Source organism: Homo sapiens, chromosome 10 (assembly GCF_000001405.40).
Source record: "Homo sapiens chromosome 10, GRCh38.p14 Primary Assembly".
NCBI classification, from domain to species: Eukaryota; Metazoa; Chordata; class Mammalia; order Primates; family Hominidae; genus Homo; species Homo sapiens.
This window is the reverse complement of record NC_000010.11, coordinates 8071964-8085947: the sequence shown is the minus strand read 5'-3', so window position 1 is coordinate 8085947 and position 13984 is coordinate 8071964. Positions and strand designations below refer to the sequence as shown.

Here is a 13984-nt window from a genome sequence, read left to right as displayed (position 1 = left end):
CGCCTACCTCGGTCTTCCAAAGTGCTGGGATTACAGGCGTGAGCCACCACGCCCAGCCCAAAACTCATGGTTCTTAAAGTCTCCATTCCACAACATAAGTGCCTACACTACCCTGTCCACCTGCAGGAAAATAACCAATTTGGTAAAAAAGGGAAGATCAGCCAGGCACAGAGGCTCATGCCTGTAATCCCAGCACTTTGGGAGGCCGAGGAGGGAAGATCACTTAAGCCCAGGAGTTTGAGACCAGCCTGGGCAACACAGCAAGACCTTGTCTCGATAAAAAGAACTTAAAAATTAGCCAGGCGTAGTGTGAGCATCTGTGGTTCCAGCTACTCAGGAGGCTGAGGGGAGACGATTGCTTGAGCCTGGAAGGTCAAGGCTGCAGTGAGCTGTGATCACACCACTGCACTCCAGACTGTCTCCAGAAAAAAAAAAAAAGCAAGCAAGAAAGAGGAAGATCAAGTTCATCCCCCTCTTAGCACAGCAGTCCACTTTGACAGTGACATCAGAAGCCTTGGTGAGATTTCTGCATTGTGGCAAAATTGCATTATCACTGGATCACTGGGAACCCATCTCAGATACGGAGAAGGATAATCCTCCCCCTCCTTTGCATAGACTGTTAAGTATTCTGTTTTGTTTAATTACCTAAGACTTCTTTAAAGGGTCCTCTAGATGTTCAGCCAGGCCACGCTTATGCAAGAGCAATAGATAGGGTGGGATCCAACGTGAAGCTGGAGCCATGGTAATTACAGGGCAAAAAGGTTGGTCTGACGGGGTACGTGGGGTTTCTGTATTAGACATTTCATATTTCATGTGGACAAGTTTGATCCTTTAAGCTCTGAAAACACCCAGAGGGCAAACTGTCAGCACCATGCACAAGAATTTTGCCCTGAACAAAATGACCTTTGAGTTCTTAACTGGTTTCATATTTTCCAGGTCTCTGCATACATATTCCTCTTTGGTCACTCCCTAACATCTTAAACGCATTTATTTGCTGGTAGGTTTTGGCCTCCCTGGCCAACAGCCACTGATTAACATCTAGTCTGCAAACCATGTAGAAATGTAATCCTTAACAAAATGAGGGAAGTTCCCAGCAAGCCAACACATTGTATTGATTTGCAAACTTCAGCCCAACTTGAGCATCCCTTCTTACTAAATTACAGCTGTCTGTCTTCAGCGAAAATTCATGTTTGCCATTCAGACTCTAGGATCAAGCTGGAACTCTTACTGGTCACACCTTCAACAGGCATTAAGTTCCATCGTGCAAAGCACAATTCAAAGACTTTTAATGGGCATCCATTGACAAAAATGGGACTTTTTCTTTTCTTTTCTTTTCTTTTCTTTTTTTTTTTTTTGAGACGGAGTCTCGCTCTGTCACCTGGGCTGGAGTGCAGGGGCAAGATCTCGGCTCACTGCAGCCTCTGCCTCCTGGGTTCCAGTGACTTGCCTGCCTCAGCCTCCTGGGTAGCTGGGATTACAGGCATGCACCAGGACACCCGGCTAATTTTTGTATTTTTAGTTGAGACAGGGTTTCACTATGTTGGCCGGGCAGGTCTCGAACTCCTGACCTCAGGTGATCCGCTCACCTCAGCCTCCCAAAGTGCTGGGATTACAGGCGTGAGCCACCACGCCCAGCCCCCCCCAAAAAAAATGAGACTTTTTAAAATGACAAATCAAGGTGACAACTTTTATTTGGGATATTTCTATCTAGATGTCAAACATCTATTTCTCAGTCCTAAGCCAATACAGCATTTCCCTCAAATTTAAGACTTACACTGTGGGCTTTTCTTTTCTATTTTTTATTGTTAGCGCTGAGAGCAGATATACCAACAGTCTCACAATCTAGGACAGGCCCTTGGGGACAAGGCTTTCTGTGTCCTTGGGTAACTCCGACACATCCCAGAGCTTCAGTTTCCGGGGGCGTGACAGAGAGGCCAGCAGTCTACCTTAGAGGACCGTGCTGATGGAAAAAGTGGATTGATAGACGCCTCTTTTTCTCCTCCTCTCCTTTCACCTTTGGCCAGCCAGCTGGCTCCGAGGGCAGACATTCTGCCAGCACACTTCTGTCTGGGGTAATGGAAAGCAGAGACACCTAATCCCCAAACTTCATCTTAGACACAACTGTAGTTTAAAACCTCCGCCTTCATCGGAGCTGCTGGTGATCCGTCCGTGCGGCGGGCAGCGATGCCGCTGCCTCTCCTTCCCCTCCTTTGTGGATGTGCGACGTAATGGAGGAGTGAGCTGACTCTGGACTCTATAAGGAAACCGTGCAACAGGGCCTGCGTCATGAACAGCCTGGACAGCCAGCCTCGGATGGAACTGACGGTGAGCGGTGCTGGCCAGAGCGGCAGCGAAGTGAATCAAGCTCCAAGTTCCATCCCTTCATGCCACCCACAGTCACATTTCGAGAGCCCAAGTGGCAGCTCCAAGCCCCCTGATCCAATTAAGAGGCACGGCCCTCCTGTCTTCTGTTAGAAGAAAGGGAGTGAGTGTCCCCACTTCCTCAACCAGTCAGCCAGAGCCACATTCATGACGTAATTGTTCTCAGGCACATCTTGTCACCCCAAGGAGATTGTAAACCTCTTAAGGGAAGGGTTGACTTCACACGTAGTTGGATTAGTTGCTCACTTACTTGGTATAATTTATTGGGAGCTGAGGGAAAGCTGTTTCCTGCTACTCACCCACCGTAGTCTCTGAAGTTTCATTCTTTTTTTTTTTTTTTTTTTTTTTTGAGACGGAGTCTCGCTCTGTCGCCCAGGCTGGAGTGCAGTGGCGCGATCTCAGCTCACTGGAAGCTCCGCCTCCCGGGTTCACGCCATTCTCCTGCGTCAGCCTCCCAAGTAGCTGGGACTTCAGGTGCCTGCCACTGTGCCTGGCTAATTTTTTGTATTTTTAATAGAGACGGGGTTTCACCGTGTTAGCCAGGAAGGTCTTGATCTCCTGACCTCGTGATCCGCCCGCCTCGGCCTCCCAAATTGTTGGGATTACAGGCGTGAGCCACCGCGCCCAGCCTGAAGTTTCATTCTTAAAAGAGCCTTTCATTGGGTAGAAATGCTGTCATGAAAACGACTTCATTTATAATTTTACAATTAAAAGGGGCAGAATAGCAGAAGTCCCTGTCATTTTCCTACACTCCACCATTACAGAAAGTCCCCATGTAGCAAGAAGCAATATAGAAAGAGGGCTTTCCTCCCTGCCCTGCTGAGAGATCTTGCATGAAGCCCTCTCCCTAATGCACCTCAGGACATTCATCACACAATGACAAAGATCACACTCTCACCTCACCTTGGGGTCCAAGGGACCAGAGTCATCCTGACTCTGAGATTAGAAGACATGTATAAAACTGCCCTGGGCTTAGGTAAAGGAATTTCTTCAGTTTCTTATGTCTTTAACCAATACTTTGGTATCGGGTACACCCACAGTCAGTGAGGCCAAGTTCAGTTGATAAATGCCCTCAGCAAATACAGCCAAGATTGAGGTCCCCATCTCCAGTTGGGGTTCACTAGTGAACTCTGCAGAGTAGAAAAACTCCCCAACTTCACCTATCTCATCTGACCGCAAGAGCCCTTCCCCTGCTGTAACCTCTAAGCTGTATCTTTCTCCAGAGCGAAGGACAGCCAGCTCCTCTTTTTTGACAAAAGATGAGCAGGAGATGTGATAACAGAAGCAAGAGGTTGGCGCGACGGCAGGAAAGGCCATGCACTGAGGAATGCAGGCCGACTCCAGGCGAGAGAAGGCGAGGAAGCAGATTCTCCCCCCTGGAGCCTCCTACGGGAACCAGCCCTGCCAACCCCACGACTTTAGCCCAGTGACAGTGATTGCGGGCTTCTGACCTCCAGAGCTGCAAGAGAATATGTGGGTGCTGTCAGAGGCAACTAAGTTCAAATAACCATTTGTGAATGACAAGTGTTATTTACATGTTAACATGTTAAATGTTATTTACAAATAATATTTGTTATTTGGAAATAACAAATAACCATTTGTTACAGCAGCTACAGGCAACTAAAACCGATGCTGACTGCATCGAGACCTGGGACTGGACATTCCAGTAGAGTGTGCCTAGAAGCTGAAGATCTCAGCATTCTGTGGGTCTGTCTCCAGGCCTCTGAGGGTCTTCAGACACATCCTGTCTGCCTCGCAGCTTCCCAGGACCTGCTATCTAACAAGAATCGGGAGAGACTGGAAGCCACTGTTTCTGATGGGTGATTTCAGTTTCGCCTCCAAGAAAGGGACCTATTTGTGTTCAAAGCAGCATAACACTGGCATTCATGTATTCAACCAATCCTATTGAGTGGGTCTTGCCTGCTGGCCACTGTGCTCCTAGCAGGATTCTGGGAGGAGCAAAAGGGACCTGGCACCCTTCCTTATGTTGAGCTCCTGTTTGGGGGCAAATTACTTATCCTTTCTATCCCATGATTTTCCTATGCATAAAATGAGGGGAGTAATCTTCCCACATTCCAGAGCTTTTCTGAGTCAAGTGAGAAAATCTCTCCAAAGAGTTCAGCACTGAGCGGGTGCTCAATGGAAACACCTGCTGTCATTTGCCGGGGGTTTGATGCGTTACAAGCTTGGTTTGTTAGCCTCTGTGCACTGTGTGATGCCAGCCTCCCAGCCCATTTTCTCAGGTTGATTCCTCTCATCGTCCAGGCTGAGTGAGTCCCAATGGTTGCACTGAACAAATCCATTCCCTTGTCTTTCTGGGATGGCCCCATGGGTCTACGCAGTTGTCAGAAGTCCAGAGGTCTGGTTTTCAGAAGAGTGAGTCCAATCCAGGAAATTGAGAATTTGCCACCGGAGGCCCATCTTGCGTCAAGGCACTTCAAGTCACTCTGGCACAAGGGAGCCCGAAGATGTTCAAAGTGAAGAACAGGATGCTTTCACACACCTGGGTCTCAAATTTATCAAAGACGGGCCAGCTCATGTGCCCGGCCTGGGAATGGTCTACCTGGAGTGGAGGAAAGTCACAGAGCTCCTGGCTCAGGATCATCGGGTTGGCGATGGCGGGAAAGCCAGGCAGCGTCTGCTCAGAGTTGGCTGTGACTGTGGGTGGAGGCTGTCTTGGAAGCTGCGGATGGTTGTGGGGCGGTGTGGGCCACTTGTTGCCACTACTCAAGCAGTCCCTGTGCTATCCTTGGCATGGTCGTAGCCTAGTAGACCCAATAAAGAGGAACAGAGACTCCCCAACAGTAAGAAGAGAGAGGGTGGCCACAGTTTACGAGGTGGCTTTTACTTAACGACCCCTTCCAGTTCATGAGATGAACTTTTAATGACCCTCAAAAAAACAAATGCTATACGCAAGCTTCCCCCAACCCCGCCCCTAGAGGCCATCAGTTTCAAGACAGCATTCAGGATAAACCCTTCCTAAGACTGCACTGCACGTGGCCAATTCAACAGCAAGGAGGAAAACTCTGCGGCTTCTTCTTATTTTATTTATTTATTTATTTATTTATTTATTTATTTATGTATGTATGTAGAGACAGACTCTCGCTCTGTCGCCCAGGCTGGAGTGCAGTGGCGCGATTTCAGCTCACTCCAACCTCCGCCTCCTAAGTTCAAGCGATTCTTGTGCCTTAGCCTCCTGAGTAGCTAGGATTGTAGGCGTGCACCACCACACCCAGCTAATTTTCATATTTTTACTAGTGACAGGGTTTCACTATGTTAGCCAGGCTGGTCTTGAACTCCTGACCTGAGGTGATCCTCCCGCCTTGGCCTCCCAAAGTGCTGGGATTACAGGTGAGAGCCACCAGAACCGACCATTCTGCTTCTTTTAAAAAACAGTTTGGTACTTTACAAGTTTGGTCAATGAATTATTAACTAATTTTATAATTTAGTTAAAAAAGGGAAGAAAACAAAACTTTAATTTTTCAGAAATGTCATATGCCCACAGGCAGCCCACACCCAATCCCCTCAAAACAAAAAAACAAAACCCGATTGGCTGGTTTCCCTGCAGAGCACGTGGTAGTCTGGGCATTGTGCAGCCCGCATCTCTGCAGCAGGGTCCTCTTCAGACCTGTTCTCTGAATGAGGACCTGGTCCTGGGAACCTCAATTCCCCACACAACATCCCTGAGTTACACAATCCCCGGCCCAAGCACAAAGCCTCCTCCAGGTGTTTACACATCTTTCAGGCTCTTGCTGGGGACCCAGCCCTGCCACCAAAGGCAGGGATGAGATGAGTGCTTTATACGGCATGGCTTTTGTTTAGCTTGAGACCAGTGGGGGTAGGGAAGGGCGAGGGGAGAGGGCCCACTCTCTAAATCCCTGCTCCAATGTGCAGCCTGCCGAACTGCACACAGACATGACAGGGGATTGTAAAAATGCACCACAGACAATGTAGCTAATGGACCAGGGTCCCCTGCACCGGAGCTCAAGGGCGTGTCAGGAAGTGACTCGGGGACACCAGGATCCGAACAGAGCATCCTAAAAGGAACCACTTTTCTGAGCACTGATCCACTTCCTCTGTTGATCCCCTTCTCCAAAGAGAAAGAGAGACAGGCAGGACAAGGAAAAAAAAAAAAAAAAAAAAGACTGGACTCTGGCTATAGCCCTAGAATAGCCTGTAAGCAATTCAGGCAGAATTTCTTTACACAATGGATGAGAGAAATATGAACCAGGCTGCCAAAATCAGCAGGAAAAGCAAGTCCTGTGTATTCAGCTCGAGAGGGGCCTGGACACATTTCAGAAAGAGCAGACTTCTAAGACTGAGGCGCTGACTCCTATCCCGGGTTGACAGTCATAAAATACAAGTTAATTTGCAGTTCACAAGATGGCACTAAGGGCAGATAGAAGTGAAATTCCCCCAACCCATCTGGAATCTTTTTTTTTTTTTTAATTTATTTTTAGACTGAGTCTCACTCTGTCGCCCAGGCTGAAGTGCAGTGGCGGGATCTTGCTCACTGCAACCTCCACCTCCTGGTTTCAAGTGATTCTCCTGCCTCAGCCTCCTGAGTAGCTGGAATTACAGGCATGCACCACCATACCTGGCTAATTTTTGTATTTTTAGTAGAGACAGCATTTCACCATGTTGGCAAGGCTTGTCTCGAACCCCTGACCTCAGGTGATCCGCCTGTCTCAGCCTCCCAAAATGTTAGAATTACAGGCGTGAGCCACCGCGCCCGGCCTCCATCTGGAATTTTTAATGGGCTACTCTCCCATCAGGCTTTTCAAATACCCTGGTCAAAATTATGGACCAGGCGTGGTGGTTCATGCCTGTAATCCCAAGCACTTTGGGAGATCAAGATGAGTGGATCACTTGAGGCCAGGAGTTCGAGACCAGCCTGGCCAATATGGTGAAACTCCATCTCTACTAAAGATACAAAAATTAGCTGGGCATGGTGGTGGGCGCCTGTAATCCCAGCTATTCTGGAGGCTGAGGCACGAGAATTGCTTGAACCCGGGAGGCGGAGGTTGCAGTGAGCTGAGATTGTGCCACTGTACTCCAGCCTGGGCAACACAATGAGACTCCATCTCAGAAAAAATAAATAAATAAAAATATGGCTGGGGGTGAGAAGAATCTTTTCCTCAGAAGAGTTGTTCTTAAAAAAAAAAAAAAAATCTCCAGTAGGTCTTAGAGAGTATCTCATCTAACTACATAGATAAGAAGTGTGCTCCCAGAGAAATCAAACAGAGAGCCTCACATCATCCTGTTAAATGGCAGCACAGCCAGGAATGAAGCCCTAGTTTCCAGACTCCTAGGACAATAGTCACAGCATGTTCAAATGATCAATGAATGCCTCAGAATTCCAGGGTTTTCCCCTTCCTGGGCTCTTTGCAAAGCGTATGGACAAGTCAAACCTGATGATGTCAAATCTGCTTGAGCTAGAGGGTACAAAGAAAAATGAAGATGTTTTCCAGAAGTTTGCTTCATTTTGAAGGGCAAAAGGTGTTGGTGTGTTGCTCTGCTGATTTAGATAATGGCTAGAATTTTTGTTCTATGGATAAGATTATATGCCATTGTTCAGACGTTTTCTTTTGGTCTTTTAATCTCTCCTTAGCTTGGAAGTTGCAGAGGGCTCACCAATGTCCTCTGTCCAGGCAGATCACAAAAATGGCTCTGGGGTGGATTTGGGGTTGAGGATGTGGACAGGGGAATGGAACAAGAGAAAATGGAGTAATAATATCTCTACATCTCCAAAATGTAAATAGGACAATTTACCATGAGGAGGAAAATATCCAAGGCAGGCAATGGATTGCATTGGAGTTTGTGGGCTTGAATTTGGGGAACAGTTGTTTCACTAAACTCGAGTCACGTATGCAGTATCTGGAAAGAATCTGCACCCTTCACACACTTTTAAACTTACGAAATACCAAAATGAAGTCTTGTGATGAGGAGTACACTTTAAAAACAACTTTAAGACCTTAGAAAGCTTTAGAAAGCAAGGGTCAGGTGCGGTGGCTCATGCCTGTAAACCCAGCACTTTGTGAGGCCGAGATGGGTGGATCACCAGACGTCAGGAGTTCAAGACCAGCCTGGTCAACATGGAGAAACCCTATCTCTACTAAAAATACAAAAAATTAACTGGGTGTGGTGGCGCATGCCTGTTATCCCAGCTACTCAGGAGGCTGAGGCAGGAGAATCACTTGAACCTGGGAGGCGGAGGTTGCAGTGAGCCGAGATTGCACCATTGCGCTCCAGCCTGGGCAACAGAGCAAGACTCCGTCTCAAAAAAAAAAAAAAGAAAAGAAAAGAAAAGAAAGGTTTAGAAAGCAGACGCTGATCTCAGAAAGCAAGCTCTGGGTAACCCTAGTTCCATCACAACCTGTCTGCTTAGGGACTAACCCAGAGGCCCAATGAGAAGCTCACCACAGTTCAAGCAGTTCGTTTTAAAGGGGAACAACAATATAAATGTCACAACGTAAGAATGACATCACTGGAATCTTGATTTCTCTATTTCCTGATCTGTCTTTTAAAAAATTTTTTTAAAAAAAGGTCAACTTAGACACTTGGGTATTTGTTGAATAAATGAAAAAAGTGCTTAAATCCAAAAGCACTACAGAGGAGTTTATAAATAGCAGAACTGTTCAATTCATATGTAATTTTTTCTATTATGTTGGCTTTTTAAATGTTTTAAAGAAATAACCCAAATCCTCAGATATTTTCCAAAAAAAAAAAAAAAAAAACCCCATATTCTCCTATAGATGTGCTAATACAACAACTTCAAAAGTGAGGTGAAACAGATTGGAAATTAGGAATACAATCGACTCAAAAATTTTTTAGCCATATTTTAGGTCTGCGATCTTGTTCTACTTTTCTAGATTAAACCCGCTTTAGTATTGCTCCTCTACTGTGTCTTATATTTTTGAAAAAAGAAAAAAGAACCAAACCATTCTGGCCATTAAAATATATGATAATATTCCAAAGAAGAAACTGAATCGGCCGGGCGCGGTGGCTCACGCCCCTAATCCCAGCACTTTGGGAGGCTGAGGTGGGTGGATCATTTGAGGTCAGGAAGTCGACACCAGCCTGGCCAACATGGTGAAACCCTATGTTTACTAAAAATACAAAAATTAGCTGGGCGTGGTGGTGGGCGCCTGTAGTCCCAGCTACTTGGGAGGCTGAGGCAGGAGAATCGCTTGAACCCAGGAGGCAGAGGTTGCAGGGAGCCGAGATTGCGCCACTGCACTCCAGCCTGGGCGACAGAACCAGACTCTGTCTCAAAAAAGAAAAAAAGAAAAAGGATCTGAATCACTGTTATTATATATATATTTATATTTTACAGCTGTTGCATCATCTGCTAGAAACATCTTAGAAGGTTCAATCAATGCCCACAACAATGAAATGACATTTCTTTGAAGAAGGAATGGGATGAAGTGTACCTTAAACAAAACGTAGCTGAGATACTGAGTTTGGGATTTTTCCACGTGTCCCCCGCCCCTTGTCCAGCCCTAAGAATGTCAAGAATTTGAACTCCCTGTTCTTAAGGTGAAAGGGCATTAACTCAAATCTGTTCATGAAGCAAAGCGGTGGCAAACTTTAAGACATTGGAACTATATGACAAAACCTCCCAAGTTTACCACAGCCAGCAGTGATTCTTTCCTTCAGTGTTTCAAAAGTAATTGGAAACAACAGTCGAGTTGTAGGTCATTAATTAGGAGCCAGAGAGAGCTCCATTTGCATCTCAGTAATGCTCTACACCTTTATTTCAACATTTAGCTTTAGGTTTAAAATATTTGCTAAGATAGTGCAGAGGCGATTAACAGAGATTTCATTTAAATGTGTGCTGTAGTTACACACTCCATCCACAGGAAAAGAAAACTATACAGCAGAAGTTACAAAATGGTTATTTTGTGTTTCGAAAACATTCCAATAATCCCTTCACTGTGGTGGTATTCATTCAACAGTAGAAAAGCAAAACAGAAATGAACACGAGCAGCCGGCTCGTTTCCATCTCAAAGAGAACCTCGAGGAACGCATCAGCTGCAGTTTGCGCCTGGGAATCTCAGCGTGGAAATCTTCCCAGTCCTCCTTCGAGGGCAGGAGGAGAGCAGGAAGACACACTGCCACTCACTAGGGGACCCCAGATGTCACCCCGGCCCCAGGATAAATTCCTCCAGGTCGCATGTAGAACTCCAAATATTCCCAGCTCCCCCCAAAATAGACGTTGACTCTCTGGGGTTAGCATCGGTTCCTAGTGAATAACTTAACATGTCTGGTTGTTAAGTTGTTTCTTTTAACTCCTTTCTCTGAAATTAGCTAGAGCTACCAGATTCTAGAAGAGCTCGGCCACCACGTGGATACGATGTCATTTTGTAGTTTTAAAATATTTTCACTTTATTATTATGCTTATAATATTATTCCAACAGACTGTATTAAAGGCAGTGATCACTAACACAGAACACGACAGGGCGAAGAGGCAGCCGGGCCGATTGCAGGACGTGGCCTGTCGGGCCAGGGTCGCTGACATGCACGCTGGTAGCTCATACACTGCTACCCTCAGCACAGGCTGCAGGAATAGGGACAAGACAGATGCCGCCGGACTCTTAGAAGCTATTTAATAAATATCATCCAAAAACAAAATGGAAAAGAAACAAGAAACCCTCCGAGCACAACCACCTTAGGCCAACTGAATGTAATCTAGTTTATTCAACCAAAAATTGAGAGAGAAGGAAAATATTGAAACAAACAAACGAAAGAAAGCAGTTCTTAAGACTAGCAGTAAATAAATTTATACAACAGTTCGGTCTGTATAATATGATGAAATAAATCTACATCTTTTCTTATTTTGGTGCTTTGAATTATACATACAAACAACAATTACAGGGACTTGTTCACAAAGCATGTAGGCCTAGAAAAAGGCTCTCTGAAACCCTCAACGGCAACTGGTGAACGGTAACACTGATTGCCCAGAACTGGTATTTCCTTTGCAGAGGCCAACAGCTTTGAACAAATGATTCGCCTACAACTTTTTTCTTTTTTTTTCTTTTCTCTTTTTTCTTTTTTTTATTTTCTTTTAATGCATCAAACAACTGTGGCCAGTGAAAGGAAACAAAACTGGCAGTTTGTCCATTTGAATATCAGACCTAGTTTCTTCTTAATTTCCACACTATTTCTCCCATATTCCTTAAACTTCTTGGCATCCTTCATGCCTTACAGCTACCCAGATGCAATAAAGTCATTGTACAGTATTTCTTACAATATAAGTTATATGCAATGTTCAGCATTTTTTTTTTCACAGCACTAGAGACCCTGTTAAATAGGGGATATGAGTCAGAATGGCTTATTCACAGATGGGGTCCAGATTCAGTGGTTGGAACACAGACACCACAGTGAGCTCCTTTGCAAAGTGGCAAACATAATTTTGCTTTCTGCCTTCAAAAACATATATCCATCGCGTTTAGGCTTCATGATACTGCTCCTGCAAAAATGCAAGTCGAAAGGGACTGCAGGGACTCTCGCTGGGGGCCCTGTGAGCATCGAGCAGGGCTCTAACCCATGGCGGTGACCATGCTGGAGGGGTGGTGTGGTCCAAAGGACAGGCTGGATGGCGGGTGCATCGGCGTGGGCGTGGTCAGCATGTGGCTGGAGTGGCTGAAGGGCGAGATGTGGCTCAGGGAGGACATGTGTCTGGAGAGGGCGGCCGGGTTAAACGAGCTGTTCTTGGGGAAGTCCTCCAGTGAGTCATGCACTTTTTTGCACTTTTTGGATTTGCTAGACATTTTTCGGTTTCTGGTCTGGATGCCTTCCTTCTTCATAGTCAGGGGTCTGTTAATCTAAACAAAGATCAATTTTTTTTTTTTTTTTTTACTTTTTTGCTGCCTCTGAAATGCACAGGCTCTCGCACACCAAGAAGGGTTCCACTGACCGCCCCGGATCAGGGATCTGTTTCCATTTCAGCTGGCCCCTTCCTCCCTCCCACCTTCTCCTGTCTCCTTCCCAGGGACTGAAGAACTAAAATACATACAGTTACCAGATTACAGCCCCGTCTAGTACGATTGTATTTCTCTGGTAACGAAAATAGAATTCACTTGTCTTATTTCTTTAGAACTTCCTTAGACTATTTCATAAGAATCGAGGTAGTGAAGAATCTTCAGGAGGGAAATGCCATTTTGGCTACTTTGACAAATCTGCTTCAGAACTTGAAAAGTACTCCCCAGGCCATCAGCCTCTAGGTGGTTAAGGCTGTCTGCCTTGAAGAAATGAGGACTGTACTGTTCTACTGAGTAACTTTCGGTTGCCTCTCTTCTACCTGGCCTTTAAGAGGTGCCATAAAATCTTCCGCTAGAATTTATATGTAGCCGGGTTGTATTTTATGAAACCATGCCTTTCTTAAAGGTGATCTTTTTTTTTTTTTTTTTTTTTTTTTTGAGACGAAGTCTCCCGCTGTCGCCCAGGCTGGAGTGCAGTGGCGCGATCTCGGCTCACTGCAACCTCTGCCTCCCGGGTTCAAGCAATTCTCCTGCCTCAGCCTCCTGAGTAGCTGGGACTAGAGGCGCCTGCCACCACACCTGGCTAATTTTTGTATTTTTAGTAGAGACGGGGTTTCACCATATTGGGCAGGCTGGTCTCGAACTCCCGACATTGTGATCTGCCCACCTCGGCCTCCCAAAGTGCTGGAATTGCAGGCATGAGCCACCGCGCCTGGCCCAAAAGTGATCTCTTGCCTGTGTCATTCCAACAGCAGCTGCAATGGTTGCAAGTGCTATTTCCACCTAGCTCTGACTCTCCACTTCTAACCAGACAAACAGCCAACCAACCAATCAACATGTATTTAATAACCACCTATGGGGTGCAAAGCACAAAAGGGCACTCATCTTGAAAAGGAAAGACCAAGAATGTGCTAGAGTAAAGAGACAGAGACCAGACCCTACTCTCAAGATCAAGAGACTTCAGTCTCGGAGACATCTGCCATTTCTCTCTTCTTAATAAACCTCATTTGCCTTTAAAAATACATTTGCTTTGGGGGCCCAGAATCAAGAAAGGAAACTTTACAAAGTAAACAGAAGTTACTCCCCACAGGGAGGCAGAAGCAGATTAACCCCAACAGCAGACATCTGCCCGGAAGAGCAAACTCCACATCTGGCCATGTTCCCAGGGGAGGGTGGCAAACAGACTCAAGGAGTGAATGTCAGTGTCCTGGCCATTCCTGACTTCCCGGGCTGAAAGCATCGCCTTCCGCCACAGTTCTCAAGGGTGGAGAACCCTTGGCTCTGGGTTTTACCTGTCTGTTCCCAAAGCCAGAAAATCACAGCTAAGAAAGGAAGAATTCAAATGGCCAACCTGCTGAGAGCAGCCAACACCCAGCTTCCCGAAGCTGAGCTGGGAGAGGTCACCTGGAGAAGGAAACAAAGCCCCACACTGGAGCTGAGACCTTATTTTCCCCAAGCCCAGGAAGGCAACGTGACCGATGGCAGGAGAGCCCAGAAAGGTCACTGCCAGAGGAACATCTCCAGGTTCCTTCTTCAAAGTTATCATCAAGATAAAGATGCAGCCTACAGAGATGACAGGAATCTACTCCCACATCAAATCTTCACCAAGATAATGTCCA

The 13984-nt window shown here is 46.1% G+C and overlaps 1 protein-coding gene across 25 annotated transcripts in view, besides 2 other annotated features; it reads right to left on the bottom strand.

Annotated features, from left to right (window-relative positions):
* Positions 616 to 818: a silencer, noted in NCBI's record as "fragment chr10:8127093-8127295 (GRCh37/hg19 assembly coordinates)". NCBI's record gives its function as "represses an EF-1alpha promoter that drives an FKBP-Casp9 reporter gene in an ReSE screen in K562 erythroleukemia cells {active_cell/tissue: K562}" and the evidence as "EXISTENCE:reporter gene assay evidence [ECO:0000049][PMID:32094911]".
* The window catches only part of GATA3 (GATA binding protein 3), a 29866-nt gene continuing 26631 nt past the window's right edge, over positions 10750 to 13984 (bottom strand). For 20 of the 25 annotated variants that reach the window (NM_001441116.1, NM_001441118.1, NM_001441117.1 and 17 more), the window contains one exon: positions 10750 to 12209. In NM_001441116.1, the coding sequence (NP_001428045.1) occupies positions 11925 to 12209 (285 nt within the window). In that variant the 3' untranslated portion in view covers positions 10750 to 11924. The remainder of the gene's footprint in view (positions 12210 to 13984) is intronic. The other 5 variants (NM_001441129.1, NM_001441132.1, NM_001441130.1 and 2 more) reach the window with 1 other exon arrangement.
* Positions 11482 to 12460: an enhancer, noted in NCBI's record as "H3K4me1 hESC enhancer chr10:8115451-8116429 (GRCh37/hg19 assembly coordinates)". NCBI's record gives its function as "activates a minimal SCP1, AML or CMV promoter by ChIP-STARR-seq in naive H9 embryonic stem cells {active_cell/tissue: H9 hESC(naive)}" and the evidence as "EXISTENCE:reporter gene assay evidence [ECO:0000049][PMID:30033119]".